This window comes from Homo sapiens, chromosome 5 (genome assembly GCF_000001405.40).
Source record: "Homo sapiens chromosome 5, GRCh38.p14 Primary Assembly".
NCBI lineage: Eukaryota > Metazoa > Chordata > Mammalia > Primates > Hominidae > Homo > Homo sapiens.
Window position 1 is genome coordinate 85,013,881 of NC_000005.10, and position 21,914 is coordinate 85,035,794.

Below are 21,914 nucleotides of genomic sequence, written 5' to 3' on the forward strand. Positions count from 1 at the left end.
ACCCAAATAGAACTTGAGGCTAAGAAGAAGGCCGCAGTTTCCCTAGAGTCAGTTTTCCTGTCCCCAAGTGCATGACCAATCGAACCACCTAAAATATCTCACATAGGGTTAAAGTACCATCTCCTAGATGTTAAATATAAGTTATTTCATTTATTGATTTATTTAAGTAATCAACAAATTTTTATTAAACAATGTTTATGTACTCATCAACATTGTGTAGATAAATAACAGAATCTTCCTACAAGAATCATGAGCTTCAAACTTAATAACAGCTGCAGTATTCAACAGACTGTCTTTCAATTAATTAGCTGGGAAAACATGGACAGCTTACATGGTCAAATGAAAAATCATAAAGGTATCATATTTAAAGTTACTGTAACACTATGATTATATGAATCTATACATAAGCATACTTTATTCCTACCTTCAAGAAACTTGTATTCCAGAATTCGAGATTTTTTTTTTTTTTTTTCTCTCCGAGACTGAGTCCTGCTCTGTGGCCCAGGCTGGAGTGCAGTGGCAAGATCTTGGCTCACTGCAACCTCCACCTCCCCTGTTCAAGCAATTCTCCTGCCTCAGCCTCCCGAGTAGCTGTGATTACAGGTGCCCGCCACCATGCCCAGCTAATTTTTGTATTTTTTAGTAGAGACAGGGTTTTGCCATGTTGGCCAGGCTGGTTTTGAACTCCTGACATCAGGTGATCCGCCCACCTCAGCCTCCCGAAGTGCTGGGATTAGAGGCGTGAGCCATCGCACCTGGCCAAATTTGAGATTTTGTAGGAGAGAGATAATAAATATAGTTTCTACCTTCAAAAATCTTACATTGTAGAATTAATTTTTTTTTGTAGAAAAGAGATGATACATACTAAAGTTTATTTATTTATTTATTTATTTATTTATTTATTTATTTATTTATTTGACATTCAGTTAAAACTAGCTTGAGTCCTTATACTAACATCCCTGAAAATTATTTGGGTGTAGGATGGAGACGCTGGCACGTTTCTTAGTCATTTCTGATTCCAGTTTTATCTGAACTTCTTAGTTATTATTTCATATTGCTTCCGTTTTCATTTTTTTCTCTTCAAATTGATCATGTGTGGACCACAAACCATTTTCTTTACATGTCTCCAAACTCCATTAACATACTAAAAGTATTTCAGGTAAAGCAAAAGAAAGAAGGGAACGCATATAGACCAATACTCCTTTGCAGTTCCCATCTGAATCAAGTTACTGAAAAGAAGAAAAGAGGCCATGAAAATAGATAAGTTCACTGATTCATGTTAAGAGTGAATAGAGTTCAACATGTTTATAAAGACCTACTTGACATTTTTCTCTTTTTATTTATTCTTTTCTTCTTATTTCTTCTTCTTCCTCTTTTTATTATTTTTTTTTAATTATAGACAAAGTTTCATTATGTTGCCCAGGCTGGAGTGCAGTGGCTATTCACAAGCACATCCCACTACTGATCAGCATGAGTGGTTTTCAACAGTTTTGTAGACAAATAATATTGGCTTAGCAGTTAGGTAGCAAGCAGTATAAAAACTACTATTGGAAGATAGGAAGATGGTGATTCATAATACATATTGTTAATCCATTGCAAAACACTTAACAAAATATTTGAACTGTGATATTTTGGATGGCAGATAATTAGGATGATCATATTTCAGCTTGCTTAAATGACATATACTCATAATGGTTCATAAAATATATATCAATCAGAATGTAAATTAAGCAGCATTTATTGGATACAAACTTGGAACAATGACTTGTGTCCTTCTAGACATTAGATTAAAGTCCCCCGAAAATTAAAGTCTATGTTCTAATGAGTTTATAAATAGTAAGAAAGAGCTACATAGTGGTCTGCACAAAGCATAATGGATGCATATATGTAGGTTTATCAGTTTCAAGCAAAAAGTTGAATAGATTTTGTGAGTCTCATTGGAAGTATTCATTGGCATTTACAGTTCTTTTCCTGTGGTGGGGGCACATGGCAGGATTTCATTTGTCTAATCTCATCTTTTGAAGTTATGTGTGGCCATGTGACTTACTTTGCCAATGAAATGTAAAGACAATGATATACGTAATTTCCTGATAGGGGCTTTTTTCCATCTAGCATGTGACTCATCATGCTTCATCTCCCTTGTTCGAGTAAACATGGAAGCCAATTTTCTTAGTCTGGCTTTGCTGCTACAACAAGATACATAAGAAAGGATGTTTTATAAAGAACAGAAATTAAATTTAGTGTGTGGAGATGGTGTGTTTTCTGCTTTCATCATGATGGCTTGCTGCTGCGTCCTCCAGAGGGCAAGTACACTGCACATTTACACAGCAGAAGAGATGGAAGGGGCAAATTCACACTCTCAAGCCTTTTTATAAGGGCTTATATCAAGTCCTTTTGTAAGGTACTAATCTCATCAATGTACATGGCCTAATCAACTCCTAAAGACCCCACCTCGTAATATTGTTGTATTTGGGATTAAGTTTTAACGTTAATTTTGAAGGGGACGTAAACATTCAGACTATAACACCCGTGTTCAGGTAGGGCTTCCAGCAGCTGTGTCCTCAAGTCTCTCTATTAGTTTGCTGGGACTTCCATAACAAAATGTCACAAGAGAAATTTATTTTTTCTGGCAGTTATGGAGACTATCAGGCCAATATAAGGTGTTGGGAAGTTTGGTTTCTCCTGAAGTCTCTCTTTTTGCCTTTTCACTGCCTGTCACATAATACTTCCTCTGTGCAGGTACAGCCCTGGTATCCCTACCTGTTCTTATTAGGGCATCAGTTACATTGCATTAGGACCCATCCATATGAGTTCATTTAACAATATTTGCCTCTCTAAACTTGCTATATCCAAATTCAGTCACATTCTAAGGTGTACTGGGGGTTAATATTTCAGCATATGAATTTAGGGGCATTCAATTCAGTCCATAATATTCTCAAAGAGGGTGAGGGTTTTGCTGCCAACCAATAATGTATAAGCAACATACTAGAGAAACAAACTGATATTGCTTTAAATCATAAAAAATTTAGGGTTACTTTTTTAAACCAAAGCATAAACTTGCCCATTTTTTTCTCACATAGAATATATTATATAGACGTTGGGTGTTGCTGTAACAGAATATTAAGATATATGATATTGAATCATTAGTCTTTTTAGACAGTAAAAAAATAGCTACATTTGGGATATAGAAAGATGGTGATCTTGGTTATACACTTGAAAATATTTTATAAAACTCTCATCTACTATGATTTAGACAGTAGATAATTAGGGTAAGCTTCCATCCAAATTTGCTTAGTACAGTCTTAGTTAATACCAGTATTACCATTTATAGAATTTCCTTTTCTCTCAAAAGTGTTCTGGTTTGAGCAACATATCATATAGTCTCCCTCCAGATAATTTAGTTCACAGCTATTTCATTTTATTGGAAGAATTTAGAAAATAAAATATTGCTGGTTAAATATGATAGCTATTAAAATAAACATATGGATTCAGAAATGAATCATCTACTTTGCAAGCAGAAATGAAATGAATTAGACAAATTCCAGAAATTCACGGCCTTGAAGTATTGAAAAATCCAGTTATTTCAGACATAATTAGAGAGAAATTTGAGAAATGCTTTGAGTCATTAAATTCCAATGTAAAAGTCAAACTGAAAGTAAAATCATTGAATTTATTCTTAAAAACTGAACGAATGAACAATATTCTTGAGAAAAAAGGCCCAAATATGGGTGTGAAAGTGAGTCAAATGTTTCTCTTAGAAATGGCAAATGTGAGAAATGAGACCAAATTAATGAATTTTTATTAAAAAAAGATTCAAGTTAGTCATTCTAATTAGAGAGAAAGAAAAGCTTTGTGCAACAAAACACAAAATATATCAATTGCAAAAGAAGATTCAAAAATATGAATATATGAATGGTACCTGGAGATGATTGGAGTTAAAAAAATAAGGATCCCACGAAGTGTCTAAGAGGTGCACTGATAATCACATGTAGGAATAAAAATCCAAGAATGTCCAAGACCTGAAAAAGCCATGGAATCCCCAAATCTTCTAGCATAATAAACCAAAGATGACATACCCTCCATCACCCACTTCATATGTGTTCAAAGATAATAGGAAAGGAAGAATTCTATTGGATGTGGAGCATAGGTCCATGGTTGAAAGTAACATGGAAACTACAGAACTTCATTACTGTATTAGTCCATTCTCACATTGCTATGAAGAAATACCTGAGACTGGGTAATTTATAAAGAAAAAAAGCGTAATTGACTCATGGTTCTGTAGACTTACAAGAAGTATGGCTATGGATGCCTCAGGAAACTTACAATCATGGCAGAAGGTGAAGAGGAAGGAATCACCTCTTACGTGGCAGAAGCAGGAGGAGGAGAAAGAGAAGGGGAGGTGTGCCACACTTTTAAACAACCAAATCTAGTGAAAACTCACTATCCTGAAAACAGCAAGGGGGCAGTCCACCTCATATGATCCAATCACCTCCCACCAGGCCCCTCCTCCAACACTGGGGATTACAACTGGACATGAGATTGGGGTGGGCATACAGAGCCAGACCATATCATTTAACATTGAGTTCGATGTTAATGTCTAAAACATACTTTAGTTTGATATCTTTTGAGAAAGAGAATTTCTTTTTTTTTTTAGAGAAGAAAATTGTGTAGTGAATATTTTGTGATAGATGATCAGTCTGTGGCAGACATTTGGACATATTCTAATTATCTTCTTTCCAAGCATTTTCTGTCATTACATTCTGTGTCTACATAAATTTTGGTATGGCCATAAAAATTTCATTGGCCTATAAAATATGCTTGGATGTGAAAAAGCATTTTGTATATCCATACACATTAAGTTTTGTGTGCTTGTGAAATTATGTGTTTATGATAACTTCCTTGACCTGTCATTGCTGGATCCGAGGGAATGCATATTATGATAGGATCAAATAAATATTGCCAAATTACTCTCCAGAAAGAGTATACTAACATAACACAATATAAAGTTCAAGAGAGTATCTATTGCACTGCATTATCTCTTGTATTGCACATTGTGTGTATGTGTGTATACACATATCTTTGTCAATACAATAGGCAATATAGACTTTCATAAATATTCATTTTGTTTTTACTGAAGTAAACATTCTAATATATTTTGGATGATTTATATCCATTATTTTGTGAATTGCTATTCCTTTGTTTTGTCTGTTTTTCTTTTGTAATAACGTGGTTAAGAGCACATGCTTTTACTATAACATGAGTCAAGTTTTGAATTTTCGTCTCTGTATTGTAACGGATTCTGTGGCCTTATGTATTTTACTTAAAATTTCTAAAGGCTCAGATCAGAGCCACTCAGGGACCCAAGATGACAGGTGTTCAATCTTAATACATGATTCATAGTCACCAAAGCAGAGAAAGGGAAAATTGTGAATTGTATACTGGCTGTTAAAGATACCACCTGGACATGTTATATATCACTTCTATTCACATTATGCTAATCAAATCGAGTCAGACGGCCGAACTCTCTTTCAAAGGGGGTAGGGATGTACAATCTTTTCTTCTGTCATTCGTTTCTGAACAGCCCCAGCAATCACCACAATCTTCCTTTATATTTAAACATAGCATCAAGCTCAATATCCAGCATTCCTGGTTGATGTCCTACGGCCTCTTCATGGTGGAGTGACAGGTGTAGTCTCTATACCAGATCTGGACAAGGATTCCCATGAATCAGAGACCTATTCATTAACAATACAAGTTATCTATCTCACTTATTCAATATTAAGTGTAAAATAGGAATAGTATAACTGCAAAAACATGGCCTTATTGGGAAAGTAGAAAGATCTAAGACAAGCAATAGGAGGCAGAAAAAAAAATACAGACAAATTCTGAAACCTAATGAGGTTCTTCTCCTCTGAGAGTAGAGAACGTTTCTAGATTATTGTTTCATCTGCTTCCTGGGATGAGTATCTATTGTTTCCTGTGATTCGAGCTCCTCCCTCTTGAAGATTTTTCCTTGGCCACATTGAAAATATGCATTGGAGAATGTACTTTCTTTGGCAGGTGAGTAGCATTATTTAAACCTCATCCGGCCAGTAGATATAGAATACTCCAAGTTTCTTTACATTCAGGCTAATGTTTCTTTTGACACCAGTTTAGACTCCCTCAATATATATTTGATTCTTTTATATTTGATTCTAGTTAGCTGTATATGCCAATAGACAACCCACAATTACTTCTTAAACAAAACTCTTACATTTGCTTTATTTCTTTATTTCCTCAGCTTATCCTTCTCTCTCTCTCTCTTCCTCTCTCTCTCTCTTTTCTGCCTCCACAACTTTCTTTCTCAGTGTAATTTTAGTTAAGCATACCAAGTTTAATGATGAAACACTTTTTTTCCTCGAACCCCAGGAAACTTTTGGTGATTTGGATCTTTCCTCTAAAATACATTAGTAAATTATGAATTTTTAATAATTGATGTGAAGGCTTTATTCTTGATTTAATCTTAGTCTTATTTTTTTTTCCTTTTGAAACTTTTTTTTAACATTTATTTTAAGTTCAGGGGTACAAGTGCAGGTGTGTTATATAGGTAAACTTGTGTCATGGGTTTTTTTTGTACAAATTATTTTATCACCCAGGTATTAAGCCTAGTACTTATTTTTTCTGATCCTCTCTCTCCCCCGACCTTCCATCTTTCAAAAGGCCCCAGTGTGTGTTGTTCCCCTCTATGTGTTTATGTGTTCTCATCATTTATCTCCCACTTGGAATTGAGAACCTGCAATGTTTGGTTTTCTGTTACTGTGTCAATTTGCTAAGGATAATGGACTCCAGCACCATCTATGTCCCTGCAAAATAATGATCTCTTTCTTCTTTAATAGCTGCATAGTATTCCATGGTGTATATTTACCACATTTTCTTTATCCAGTCTATTGTTTGTGGGCATTTAGGTTGTGCATTAGTCTGTTTAAATGCTGCTGATAAAGACATGAGACTGGGCAATTTACAAAAGAAAGGAGTTTAATGGACTTACAGTTCCACATGGCTGGAAAGGCCTTACAATTATGGCAGAAGGTGAAAGGCACATCTTACATTGCAGCAGACAAGAGAAGAGAGCTTGTGCAGAGAAACTCTTGTTTTTATAAGCATCAGATCTCCTGAGACTTATTCACAATCACAAGAACAGCACGGGAAAGACCTGCCCCCATGATTCAACTACCTCCCACCAGGTTCCTCCCATGACATGTAGGAATTGTGAGAGTTACAATTCAAGAAGAAATTTGGGTGGGGGCACAGCCAAAACATATCATTTCATCCCTGGCACCTCCCAAATCTCATGTCCTCACATTTCAAAACCAATCATGTCTTCCCAACAGTCCCTCAAAGTCATAAGTAATTTCAGCTTTAACTCAAAAGTCCACAGTCCAGAGTCTCATCTGAGACAAAGCAAGTCCCTTCCACCTATGAGCCTGTAAAATCAAAAGCAAGTTAGTTACTTCTTGTCTACAATGGGGGCACAGGCATTGGGTAAATACAGCTGTTACAAATGGGGGAAATTGGCCAAAACAAAGGGGTTACATGCCCCATGCAAGTACATAATCCAGCGGGGCAGTCAATTCTTAAAGCTCCAAAATGATTTCCTTTGACTATGTCTCACATCCAAGTCACACTGATGCAAGAGGTGGGCTCCCATAGCCTTGGACAGCTCCACCCTTGTAACTTTGCAGGGTATACCCCTACTCCTGGCTGTTTTTACGGGCTGGTGTTGGGTGTCTGCAGCCTTTCCAGGTGCACAGTGCAAGCTGTGAGTGGATCTATTATTCTGGGGTCTGGCAGATGCTAGCCCTCTTCTCACAGCTCCACTAGGTGGTGCCCCAGTAGGGACTCTGTGTGGGGGCTCCAACCGCACATTTTCCTTCCACATTGCCCTACAAGAGGTTATCTATGAGGGCCCTGCCCCTGCAGCAAACTTCTGCCTGGGCATCCAGGAGTTTCCATACATCTTCTGAAATCTAGGCAGAGGTGCCCAAACCCCAATTCTTGACTTCTGTGCACTCTCAGGCTCAACACCACGAGGAAACTGCCAAGGCTTGGGGCTTGCACCCTCTGGTGCCACTGCCTGAGCTCTACATTGAGCAACGGGGACGCAGGGTTCCAAGTCCCTAGGCTGTATACAGCACAGGGATCCTGAGCCCGGCCCATGAAACCACTTTTTCCTCCCAAATCTCCAGGCTTGTGTTGGAAGGGGCTGCTGTGAAGACCTCTGACATGCCCTGGAAACATTTTCCCCATTGTCTTGGGGAATAACATTTGCCTCCTCATTACTTATGCAAATTTCTGCAGCCAGCTTGAATTTCTCCTCAGAAAATAGGATTTTCTTTTCTATCACATTGTCAGGCTGCAAATTTTCTGAACTTTTATGCTCTGCTTCCCTTATAAAACTGAATACCTTTAACAGCACCCAAGTCACCTCTTGAATGCTTTGCTGCTTAGAAATTTCTTCCACCAGATAACCTAAATCATCTCTTTCAAGTTCAAAGTTTCACAAATCTCTACAGCAGGGCAAAATACCACCAGTCTCTTTACTGAAACATAACTCCAGTTCCAGTTTGCTCCAGTTCCCAACAAGTTCCTCATTTCTATCTGAGACCACCTCAGCCTGGATTTCATTGTCCATATTGCTATCATCATTTTGGTCAAAGCCATTCAACAAGTCTGTAGGAAGTTCCAAAGTTTCCCACATTTTCCTGTCTTCTTCTGAGCCCCCAAGCTCTTCCAATCCCTGCCTGTTACCCACTTCCAAAGTTGCTTCCAAATTTTGGGGTATCTACAGCAACACCCCACTCTACTGGTACCAATTTACTGTATTAGTTCATTTTCACATTGCTGATAAAGACATACCTGAGACCAGGCAATTTACAAAAGAAAGAGGTTTTATGGACTTACAGTTCTTCATGGCTGGGAAGGCCTCACAATCATGGCAGAAGGTGACAGACACATCTCACATGGTAGCAGACAAGAGAATAGAGCTTGTGCAGGGAAACTCCTAGTTTTAAAACCATCAGATCTCCTGAGACTTTTTCATTGTCAAGAGAAAAGCCCAGGAAAGATCTGCCCCCATGTTTCAATTACCTCCCACCAGGTTTTTCCCATGACATATGAGAATTGTGGGAGTTATAATTTAAGATGAGATTTGGATAGAGACACAGCCAAACCATACTGGGTTGATTCCATGTCTTTGCTATTGTGAATAGTGCTGCAGTGTATATGCCTGTGTGTGTCTTTATAATAGAAAAAGTTATACTTCTCTGGGTTTACCCAGTAATGAGATTTCTTGGTCAAATGGTATGTCTGTCTTCATGTGTTTGAGGAATCACCACACTGTCTTCCACAATGGCTGAACTGATTTACACTCTCAACAACAGGATATATGTGTTCCATTTTCTCCACAACCTCATTAGCATCTGTTGTTATTATTTTAAATAGTCACCATTCTGACTGGCATGAGATGATATCTCATTGTGGTTTTGATTTGCATTTCTCTAATGATCAGTGATGTCAAGCTTTTTTCATATGATTGTCAGTAGCATGTATGTCTTTTTTTGAAAAGTGTCTGTTCATGCCCTTTACCCACTTGTTTATGGGGTTGTATGTTTTTCTACTGTTAGTTTGAGTAGTTTTTGTATATGGTGTAAGTTAGTTAGTTTTTATATATGGTGTAAGGAAGGGTTCCAGTTTCAATTTTCTGCATATGATTAACCAGTTATCCAAGCACCATTTTTTGAATAGGGAATCCTTTCACCGTTGCTTATTTTTGTGAGATTTGTCAAAGATCAGATAGTTGCAGGTGTGTGGTCCTATTTCTGTGTTCTCTATTCTGTTCCATTGGTCGATGTATCTTTTTTTTGTAAAAGGTACCATGTTGTTTTGTTTGCTGTAGCTCTGTAGTATTGTTTGAAGTTGGGTAGCATGATGCCTCCAGCTTTGTTCTTTTTGCTTAGGATTGCATTGGCTATTTGGTCTCGTTTTAGTTCCATACTAATTTTAAAATAGCTTTCTCTAGTTCTGTGAAAAATGTGAATGATAGTTTATTAGGAATATTGTGGAATCTATAAATTGCTTTGGGTAGTATGGCCATTTTAATGATATTGATTCTTCCTATCCATAAGCATTGGATGTTTTTCTATTTGTCTGTGTTATCTCTGACTTCATTGAGCAGTGGTTTGTAATTCTCCTTGTAGAGATCTTTTGCCTCCATAGTTAGCTGTATTCCTAGATACTTTATTCTTTTTGTGGCAATTGTGAATAGGAGTTCTTTCCTGATTTGGCTCTCAGTTTGACCATTGTTGGTATATTGGAATGCTAGTGATTTTTGCATATTGATTTTGTATCCTGCATCCTGAGACTTTGCTGAAGTTGTTTTTCAGCTTACGAAGATTTTGGGCTGATGCTATGGGCTTTTCTAGATATAGAATCAGATCATCTGCAAAGAGGGATAGTTTCTTGTCTTCCTATTTGCATGCCCTTTATTTTTTTATCTTGCCTTATTGCCCTGGCCGGAACTTCCAATACTATGTTGAATAGGAGTGATAAGAAATAACATCCTTGTCTTGTGCCAGTCTTCAAAGGAAATGTTTCCAGCTTTTGCCCATTCAGTATGATGTTGGCTGTGGTTTTGTCATAGATGGCTCTTACTATTTTGAGGTATATTCCTTCAATATCCAGTTTACTGAGAGTATTTATCATAAATGACTGTTCAATTTTTATCAAAAGCCTTTCTCTGCATCTGTTGAGAAATCATGTCAGTTTTGTCTTTAGTTTTGTTTATGTGATGAATCACATTTATTTGTTTGTATTGAACCAACCTTGCATCCCCAGGATGAAGCCTACTTGATCATGGTGATAAGCTTCTTGATGTGCTGCTGGATTCAGTTTGCCAGTATTTTATTGAGGATTTTTGCATTGATGTTCATTAAGGATATTGGCCTAAAGATTCCTTTATGGCAGTATCTCTGCCAGGTTTTGGTATCAGGTTGATGCTGGTCTCATACAATGAGTTAGAGAGGAGTCACTCCTCCTCAAATGTTAGGAGCAATTTTAGTAGGAATGGTACCAGCTCTTCTTCATACATCCAGTAGAATTTAGCTATGAATCCCTCTGGTCCTGGGCTTTTTTTTTTTTTTTTTTTTGATTGGTAGGCTATTTATTACTACTTCAATTTCAGAACTCGTTTTTGGTCTGTTTAGGGACTCAATTTCTTCAGTTCAGTCTTGGGATGGTTTATGTGTTTAGGAATGTATCAATTTCTTCTAGATTGTCTAGTTTATGTGCATAGAGGTGTTCATAATATTTTCTGATGGTTGTTTGTTTTTCTTTGGGGTCAGTGTTGATATCCCCCTTGTCATTTCTGATTGTGTCTATTTCAATCCTCTCTTTTCTTCTTTTATTAGTCTAGCTCGTGGTCTATTTTATTGTTTTTTTCCAAAATCAGCTACTGGATTTTTTGAATGGCTTTTCATGTCACTATCTCCATCACCTCAGCTCTGATTTTGGTTATATCCTAGCTTTATATTTGTATTTTTAAAAATTTGTACCCAGGTCTTTATAAAGAAACTGTCTCTCTTATAAATACCATATGATCAGTTTGCTTTTTTTTTTGCTGTGGCAAACACTGCCTTATAATCAGACAGTTTATTCCATTGTATTTAATGTAGCTATTAATTTAAAAGGTTTCAATATTTTGTATTGCTGTTTGTTTTTTATATAGTCCTTCCCATTGCTCCTCCTTTCTTGCCATGCCACCTTTTATTTTGTTTTTAATCTTGTTGCTGTTGTTTGTGTGTTTTAACATTTCATTTTATCTACTTTCTTGGGTTGTAAACTGTATATTTTTACATACTTTTATGCTGGCTTTAGAAATATGAATATATATTGATCTTTAATGTATCATGTTATATTTCATATTAATATTATTACCTCACCATTATAAGGGCAAAAGAGTAATTTTACTCAGCCTCTCCCATTCTTCGTGTATCATTATCACTTATCTGAGTTCTATCTTAATACACTGTTAGCATTTTTGCTTTCACTAGTCAATTGAATTTTGGGGAACTCAAGACAAAAACATTTTTATACTTTCCACATATTTGTCAATGACAGTGCTCTTGGTATGCGCTTTTTAAAATCTGTATTTCCTTGTGGCATCATTACCCTTCAGCCTGGAGAATGTCTATGGCAGTATCTGCTGAACACTATTTCCATCAGCTAGTGCTTGAAAATATTTTTATTTTTGCTTTATTGTTAAAGAATATTTTTGTGAGATATCAAATTCTAGCCTGATGATTTTTGTTCCTTCATTTCCTTTTTTTAAAATGAAAAATCAGACATCATTTTTATGATTGGTTCCTAGATAATCTCTTTTTTTTCCTGGCTACTATTAATATTTTGTAGTTATTATAAACAAATTTTCAACAGTTTGACTATGAGATATCTGAAAAATGCTTCCTTAGTATTTATCCTGATTATGGATTACTAATTTTACTAAATTCATGAATTAATATTTTAACCAAAATTGAAAAGTTCTGTATCAATAGGTGACAGTATATATAATTTATAATTTGTTTTCTGCCAATAGTATTGTCAATATCTTTCCATATCCTCTCCTTCTTTCCTTTTGGGACTTAAATTTCACGATGTTATATTGTAAGGTATTGCCCTAGAGCTCATTCAGGTTATATTCCTTCATAGTTTTTTTTTTCACTTATATTTACTTAAAATTCAGCACGCAGAACTCATTCTTAAAATATGTTCCTTATTCCTAAGATATGGTCTATCTGATATTTTAACAGAGACCACAAAGTGTCTAACTTGGCAGGACTTGAACACTAAACCTTTACGCCATGCACTAGGCAATAACATTTATCACCTTCTGCCTCAAAACTATTGTTTTCTGTTGGACTTCTTGGAGTCACACACTACTAAATGTAAAATATAGTAGTCAGTACTTGGGAGGCTGAGGCAGGAGAATTGCTTGAACCCGTGAGGCAGAGGCTGCAGTGAGCCGAGATCGTGCTCCTGCACTCCAGCCTGGGAGACAGAGGGCGTGACTCCGTCTCAAAAAAAAAAAAAAAAATTAGTAGGCAGACAAACGTTAAATGAGAACATGTATTCAGATTGTTAAAGTTATCTCCCCGGCCTACAGACAAAATGAACTCCCATGGCAAATTGAAGTGCTCAGTGTTAAAACAGAACCAAGTGGACATGGCTGGGTGAAGGAGCAATCACATACTCTTTGTACTAAGAAAGATATTGTAGACCAGGCATGGTGGTTTACACTTGTAATACCAGCACTTTGGGAGGCCAAGAATTATTTGAGGCTGGAAGTTCCAGATGAGCCTGGGCCACATAAGGAGACCCTGCCTACAAAAAAGTAAAAGTAATTAGCCAGGCACAATGGCATGCACCTGTAGTTTCTATCTAGTTGGGAGACTGAGACAGGAGTATCGCTTGAGCCCAGGAGTTTGAGGCTACAATGAACTATGATTGATTGAGCTGCTGTACCTCAACCTGGCTGAAGATGTTGTAAAAGTATCACAGGATTTTTCGTTTTCTACAATCAAGCCAAATCAATTTCTGTTGTTGATGCCAAGATAAACTGTGGGCACAAATCTGCTCGCCCCACCAGTTTGAAAGAAACAAGAGACCTCTGGTTTTGGGCTTGGAAACCAACTAATCAGAACTTATCTGCCCTGGCCAATCAGGGTTCAGCTATATCAACCAGTCGCAACTCCACTGCACCAAACAATCAGAACCTAGGTAAGCTTAAATCCTGTATTTGCATAACAGACCTGATTGGGAAACTGGGCAGGGACTTCTGACATAAAATCCAAACCCTCTCTTTTTTTTCTTTGGAAAGTACATTCATTTTACACCCAAGACTGCGTCTCCCCAGTTTGCAAACTATTCACTGGAATACAAATCTAATTCCTTTTCAGAGAACCTTTGTTCACAAGACATAAGATCTTTCCTCTTAATTTCGCTACTCTCTGGCATTCTCCTTTCAATTATCAACCACACTGGTATGCCTGAATTCTGAGCCCATAAGATTCCCATTTACTACTTAAGCTATGGTCCCTATGTGCTTCATTGACTGGAATGTGCCTTCAATGGAAAAGTCAATTAAATATAGATTCACATGATATGTTTCCCTTTTTAAAAGATTCTATCTCCTCCACTTTCTTTATGCTTTTCATAAACTTGCAGTGCCATCAAGCAGTATTTTTATGGAGAGTGCAGAGTTTATTGTTACTGTCAGAAGAATTTTTAGTTTGATAAACCATTATTATCAGAATTAGAATTTTAGAAGTGTTTAAACATTAATATCAAATAGATAAAATAATGAATTCCTATGTATCCATAATCATGTTTCAGTAATAACTAATCTTCTATCAATATTATTTTATCTCTTTAATATTGTTTCATCTGCCTCTCCATCCACAATAACAATAATGTTTTATATGTCTCTACATTCACTATATTGCTTTATCTGCCTGTGCATCCATTATACACATTTATATTTTAGTTTTTTCTAGATTCTCTAAAGAAAATATCAGAAATTTTATCTTTTAACCTGAAAATATTATTATATATTTGTAAATAATAAAGACCATTTTTCTTAAGGTAGCCTTATCATAATCAGATCATTATAATATTCAGTTCATACTGACATCTGCTGAAAGGTCTTAAAAATTTTTCATACATGCATTATTTGATTGAGATCTGAGCAAGATCAAACTTTGCATTAATTTGATTGAAATGTCTCTTCCATCATTTTAATTTACCCATTAATAATTTCTCCACATTCCCCCTTTTTTATACATCTGATGTTGCTGTTGAATAAACCAGGTCAATTGTGTTTTAGCTTCCAGTTTTAAAAGATAGCTATCAAACTATCAAATATCAGAGACAATTTGTCAATGCCAAAATTCTCTTGATTTGTAAAAGCTAGGCTTATATGAAAGAACAATGATTTGTAATTTTATAAAAAGTTTGGCTTTTTCTATCAAGAACAAGTCCTGAAAAACAAAGAATATGAAGTTCTTATGCTGAACCCTGGAGTTAAGAATAAATGGTGTCACAAGATCTTGATTTGAGGTAATGAGCTGACACACAGGAAAAGGAAAATCTAAACATAATTCCCTTATGTTTTAAGGGAATCTAAGAACATATCTGTGTATTGATATCCGCAGTTTGGCTCAGGAAACAATCAACCTAGTAAATATTTCACAAAAATGTGGTGCCTAGGTTTGTACATTAACAAATATATTTTAAAAAGCATTTGGGTTAATGAGCAGAACATTCTTATAATGTTTTTTGGCTTTAGAGAAAATTTTAGAGATAATTTAAATGTTACAGAAAATTTTCCAAAAATCATCCTTGAGCTGCATCCCCACTGTCACCTATTTAGTCAAAGAGACTGTAAGCATGTTGTTGGATCCAAAGAGCGTAGGGTTTAGACAAGAAGTAAACAAATTATTTGGATTTCATGAAGAGGGGTTATAGAAAGTGTATACTAATATGTTGCAAAAGCCACAAAAGTCAACTCAAAGTATTACTCCAAAAACTTCTGCTGCTCGGGAGGACAGAGGATGACACTCAGACAAGATTCCCTTTCTCCAAAGTCAGGGCAATTTGTAACTACCACTGCTATGTTTGTGCTTAGACGGCTGTAAATGCAATAGGGAATGGGTGCAGTCTTAAACAATGCTTAGCAATCATAAGATAAATAAAAATTGACTGAGTTTCCCAGAACTCTGAAATCAGTGGAAACAGTACCCCAAAAGCTAAGTGAATTTCATTGCAGACCCACTTTGTGATTGCCAAAAATTTTTTTAAAAATACAGTTGGTATTATTAGAAAATAAGTCTCATTTCATAGTTTAAAATTAGGCATATTCAATGTCTGAAAAATCTGATAGAAATTTATACCTGTTTGCTCATGGAGAGAAATGCTGGTGCCTAAGTTTTTTTTTAATTCACATGTGCATTTCCTACTTAAAGTTGAGCTGAAAGACTTTTAATACAAATTCTTGATATCATTCTGGTTAAGACACTAAAAGCTTGGAAACAACTGTTCTATTTTCCTAAAAAAAGGAAATAATTTTTCGACTTCTTCATTCATCTATAGAGTTAAAATAAAAAGGTATTGGTAGGAAATTTAAAATGTACATATTTAGCTTTTTATTTTTCTTCCAAAAACTCTATCAAACTTATTAAAATTGTAAATAAAATAACAGCCAAAAACAAATTATAAACACATTGATCCCTTTCCATAGGCATTTATACACCAGCTGTTATTAATATTAATGGCTGTGTATTTATCATAAGCATGATCACTTTTTAAAATTTGACAGCAAATATGGGTATTAAAATGTCATGTTCTGTAACAATTCATTGTAAGCTTTTTATTTATTCCCTCTGAATTATGCCAAGATTCATTACAAAATCATTTGTTGAAATCCTGTAAGTCTGTTTTACCCCCACTCTCTTTCTTTTTCAGATGATCTCCTCTAGATGTGAGTGGTCAAGGGAATATTGACTCTATTCATTGACACTTAAATTGTGGCTTCTGGGTCAGTGCTCTGACTGAACCTGTCTTTCTTAATTATCATCTAGCAACCAGATGCCAAATGTATTTCCTGCTTCAGGCTGTATAGCTTTATTTCAGGGACCTCTGAGTCTTTTAAAAAAAATCATCAATTAAGATTGCTTTTGTCTAAATGGAAAAAACTCTCTCATATTACTTCTCTCTTTTAAAACAAAAAACAATTTCCATAAGCTCTTCAAGTAAGTTTAGTGAGTCCTGTATAAGAGAAAAAGTATTCTTTAGTTCTTTATTTTAGGGATGTCTCTTTAGATTTTTATAAATGTAGAGCCATTTAATGTAATATTAATATGTCATTCTGTGTTAGACTGAATATATACTGTTAGATAACTAGTTCTGCTGACTATGTGTAATTTAACTACACTACAAAATCTGTGGGATGCCAAAATAATGCAATTTTTAAAATTATAATTGGAATGTGTTATGTTCTCAGTTCTCAGAACAATGATTGTCATATGAACAGATTTATATAGTGCCATTTTCTGTTTCATTATAGTCTTTGCCATAAGAATGAGGTGGTAGAATTTTAATGTCTCATACATTCTGTCGATTACAGTCTTCTAATATACAGCTTTGACCTTTTCAATGTTCTATGATTTGATTGGCTACTCATTGCATTTTTCCCTTGCTTTCTGTCCCACTAACCTGTAGGGAGGATATAGAATGGACAGCCAATTGAAGTGTAGAATATTGAAAAGGTCAAAACACTACAATATGTTATCTCCACTCAGAATACATCACATACTAACCAGATTTTGTAGTTGCTCTACACGGACAAGGAGAAGAGTGGTTGCTGTGGGGGGAGTGAGCAATAAGATAATCACTCCACAGTTCAGTCGACAAATTGCAAAAGTCATGTTTTCCTGAATGTCTTAGTCATTTTCAAAATTAAAGTGAAAGCCCATTTCAAAAGTGAATACAAATTATACAGGTTGAGTATCATTTATCTGAAATGTTGGGGACTAGAAGCATTTTGGATTTTGTTATATTTTAGAATATTTGCATATACAAAATGAGATATGGGGATAAGGCCAAGTCTAAAGAAGAAATTCATTTATGTTTTTATGTACACCTTATATACATAGCCTGAAGGTAATTTTGTACAATATTTTAATTACTTTATGCATGAACATGGTTTTTGAACATTGAATCATCAGAAAACAAAGGTATCAGATGTAGAATTTTCTACCTGTGCCGTCATGTAGACATTCAAAATGTTTCAAATTTTGGAGAATACCAAACTTTGGATTTTCAGTTTAAAGGTGCTCAATCTGTATTTAGTTTTGAGAGTTAAATCAACCTCTTCAGAATCTGTTAAAGGATCTTTGCCTATATAGCTGAATAGATGCAAAGAAACCATCATTTCCGACACTCTTCATGCATTTTTGATAGTATATAACATTTTCTTTATTCTGGTATTTCATTGAAGTTGACTAGCTCTTGTGATTTTATCTTTTTTAAGAATGATATAAAAATAATACAGCAGCTATTACATATTTTAAAAAATTGATATTTCTTTTTAGAACTTCTTTACTATCAGAATTCTGAATTCTAAACTTTAAAAAGATAAATAATTACATATGATTGTGGTAAAAACTCTGATTGTTGATCTGTTATATCTTGGTGGCATTGGAACCCATGTGCCTTTTGCTACTCACTTATGATTTTGATTTTACTCACTCAATATCCCTAAGAGGTAAGTTGATTTTACATTAATAACTATGACCAAGACTTATGTACTCTCACATCAAAAACAAAACCAATATCAGCTTTAGAATCTGCATTCTCCAAATAAATTTCGCCGGTCTTTACTTTTAGTCTAATTTAATTCTTTTTTTAGTCAACTTGTTTGGACTGTCGTAAATTACTCTGCTCATTAGAATCTTGTAATAGATAAAAAAATCAATTATTCTAAAATACTTTACTTAAAACCTAGTAACACCCAGTGTTAAACAATCTAGACCAAAATTTGACAGCAATGGCCTTACCTCGATTTAATTTGAATATCTGTTCTAGCCAAATAAGCATTCAAGCAGAAAGCATTAATCTCCCACTTTCTTAGTGTACTCTATCGTTTAACATCTTATCTTTTAAATACCTAGAAGAAAGATATTTACAACGTATACGGACCTATTTGTCTCTCCATTTGGTTGTTCTCTTCATTAGTCTTACTGTCTATGTTTGACGAATTATTACTTACTACACAATAAAGGAATTTTGTATAGTATAAACATTCCTATACCATATTTTTCACTATTTCAGAAAATTGTATTTAAAATTAAACACTGTTGCTAACTCTAGGAGACTTGTGTGTTTCAAAAAACAACATTAGGTCTTATCCCTCTAGGAATACCTATATAATTAACCTATTTCATCACAGAGACCAAGTTTTACAGTAAGTTTCTATGCATGCACTTATATTTCTAAGTTGTAAGGGTAACAGTTTAGAGTGAGGAAAATACTAATCAATCAACAAAAGTATGTTCTATCATAATCTACATTTGTAAGATATTAACTGATATAAAACATTAAATTTCAAGAGAGAATATTGGAAAATGGAGTAAATCAGAGAAACAATAAATGGAGGTGCATCATAAATTGAGTACTGAAGAATAACAGATGAAATTAAAAAGAAAAATGGCTCATGTACAGTGAAAGAAAACTAAAACACATAAAAATGAGGTATTGCAAGGCCAGCAACTAATAAAGCAATAATAAGGGGTGGTAAGTAGTAGTAGGAAATAGTGTGAGAAAAATAATTTAGAACAAGATTAAGGTGTGAGAATAAGAAGTGGGTGTCCATTTTATAAGCAATTGGAATTACATGCATGGCATAATTATTAGTGTGCAATATTTCTTAAGAGGTTGATTTTACAGTATAGGTATGAAGTAAACAATGTTTTAATTGTCTGGCAAATGTGAACTGGAGAGACAGTGACAATATACAACTAATGCAAAAAAAAAAAAAAAAAAAAAAGAAAGGCAAAGTAAAAACTGATGATTGGAATGTTATGCAAACCGAGGAAGCCTGAAAATGGACTCACTAGAATTGAGGGTGTGAACAAAACGTCTCTGAAAGGAGTTTTAGAGCAAATATAATTTATTCCAGTGAACAGTCCAGTCTTAAAACCCAGGACACACCACCACCTTGGGTTAAATGAAAGAGTGTTGCAGAGAACAAAGAGAGGGTTCTCATTTTATAGCACAATATCACCCCACCAAGCCCAGGTTCCCAACCAGGTTTGTTTATGCAGATTAAGGATGGAAGCTCATTTCTGATTGGCGAGTGCGGCTAAGTTCTGATTGGTCAATGCAACTGATCCCTGATTGGTTGATACAGCTGAGCCCTGATTGGCTGGTAAGGTGAGCTCTGTTTGTTTTCCAAGCCCAAAACCAGAAGTTTCTGTCAGATATTTCTTTCAAACTGCTGGTGCGTAGATGGTTTCTGGCCATAGTTTATCTTGGTACCCACAACAGAAAGTAGTTTGACTTGATTGTAGGCAGGTAGGTCTTGTGATACTTTTACAACATCTTTCAGAGAACTCAAGAGTGTGTGACTGACTTCCTTCATGCAAGGATGGCCACCTAGTTCTATTTGAACTTTGACCACCTCAATTTGCCACTGGAAGTTCATTCTGTCAGCCCACAGCATACTTTAACAATAAAGAAAGAAACGTAGCAAGAATAACAGATATTGGAATGCAAGAATAAGAAGATTTGCATTAAACATTGTTTGGCAAAAACTGCCTCATTCTTTAATTCATTCATTTAGAAAATAGGTGGCTGGTGACTCTCTTTGTGCCAAACAGTGCCAGAAAAGCCAATGGACAATGGAAAGATTAGGCACAACACAGGAGAAGTGGATCATGAACTCTATCTCCAGACTTCTGAAGAAAAATTCCTGTTCCCATGGAATGTGTCTTTTCAGTGGGGGGGAAAACTAACACTAAGCAGCTACAGAAGCAAAGCCATATTTAATGTAATACCAAATTAGGACAAATGCCTAGAAGAAAAATGAGAGCATGAATGAATGATGGGTGGTTATTATTTTAGATAAAGTGACCATGGACAAGTTCTCTGAAGCACTCCTATTCTAACAGAGACTGGAAATGTGCAGAGCAGTAATAATGTAAAGATCTAGATCAGGATAATATGGGAAGAATTAAAAGCAAATAGAATGGCCATGGGCCAGAATGAGTTTGATGTGAAGAAGAAACAGCAAGAGGGCTTGTAAAACGACCATTATGCTGCCAAGAAAATATATAATAAAAATTTAAACTAACATTAACATCATGGAAAAATAAAACAACACAATTTTTGGCTTTATGTTAAAATAACTATGTTAACTTTTATATACTGAAATAAAAGTGTTAAGCAATTTCTAAGATATTTTTGTGACATTATAAATTCTATAAATATCGCCATACCAATTTTTGCTTATTGGAATGTATTCTTTATTTTTTTACAAATATGTAGATATTTCATATTCCTCTTAGGTTTTTAAACTAGAAATTAGTGTGATTTGTTGGTAATCTAGGAATTTTCGTTCTGAGGCTTCTGTCACTGTGAAGGAAACTTTCTCATTTTTTATAATCTGTTATTGGGTGCCCTCATCCCCTCAAAAAGTCAAGTGCTGTCATTAATAATACATTATAATCTTCCTACAATATCCCATAGTCACATAGGCAATATAAGTAAAATAATATAGTTAAAAGAAAAATGATTTATGAGAAATAGTATGGAATCTCTATTGTTCCTTGAGAGTGTCATTTCTCTCTCTCTCCTACCCCTATTCATCTATTTTCTAAGATAATTTTAAAAACTCGACTTTCCCTTTCAAAAATGGATTTCTTGACCCAACTAAAAATGTAATTTGATTTTTTATTTAATTAGCCAGTGTCCCAAGTGACACAATTGGATAATGTTATCACAAAGGCTAATTTATATCTTTAATATAAAAGATATTTGTGACACACAGACCCACTTTACTTTTCCACAGCATATCAGTTTCTTCTAGCTTATTTATTTTGGTTAATAACATCATAATACACCAATTTTTAAATCTTATTGGGCTTTGTACCCAAATTCCCCTCAGATTCTTCTGCCCCAAGCACAGGCTAACTATCCCATATCCAAAATTATTGGAACGAGAACTGTCTTAGATTTTGATTTTTTTCAAATTTTGGAATATTTGAATATATATAATGAGATATCTTGGGGATGAGGCCCAAGTCTAAACATGAAATTCATTTATGTTT

At 35.0% G+C, this 21,914-nt stretch overlaps 1 annotated feature.

The window, feature by feature from the left end:
• Positions 13,461-13,962: an enhancer, noted in NCBI's record as "NANOG hESC enhancer chr5:84323159-84323660 (GRCh37/hg19 assembly coordinates)". NCBI's record gives its function as "activates a minimal SCP1, AML or CMV promoter by ChIP-STARR-seq in naive H9 embryonic stem cells {active_cell/tissue: H9 hESC(naive)}" and the evidence as "EXISTENCE:reporter gene assay evidence [ECO:0000049][PMID:30033119]".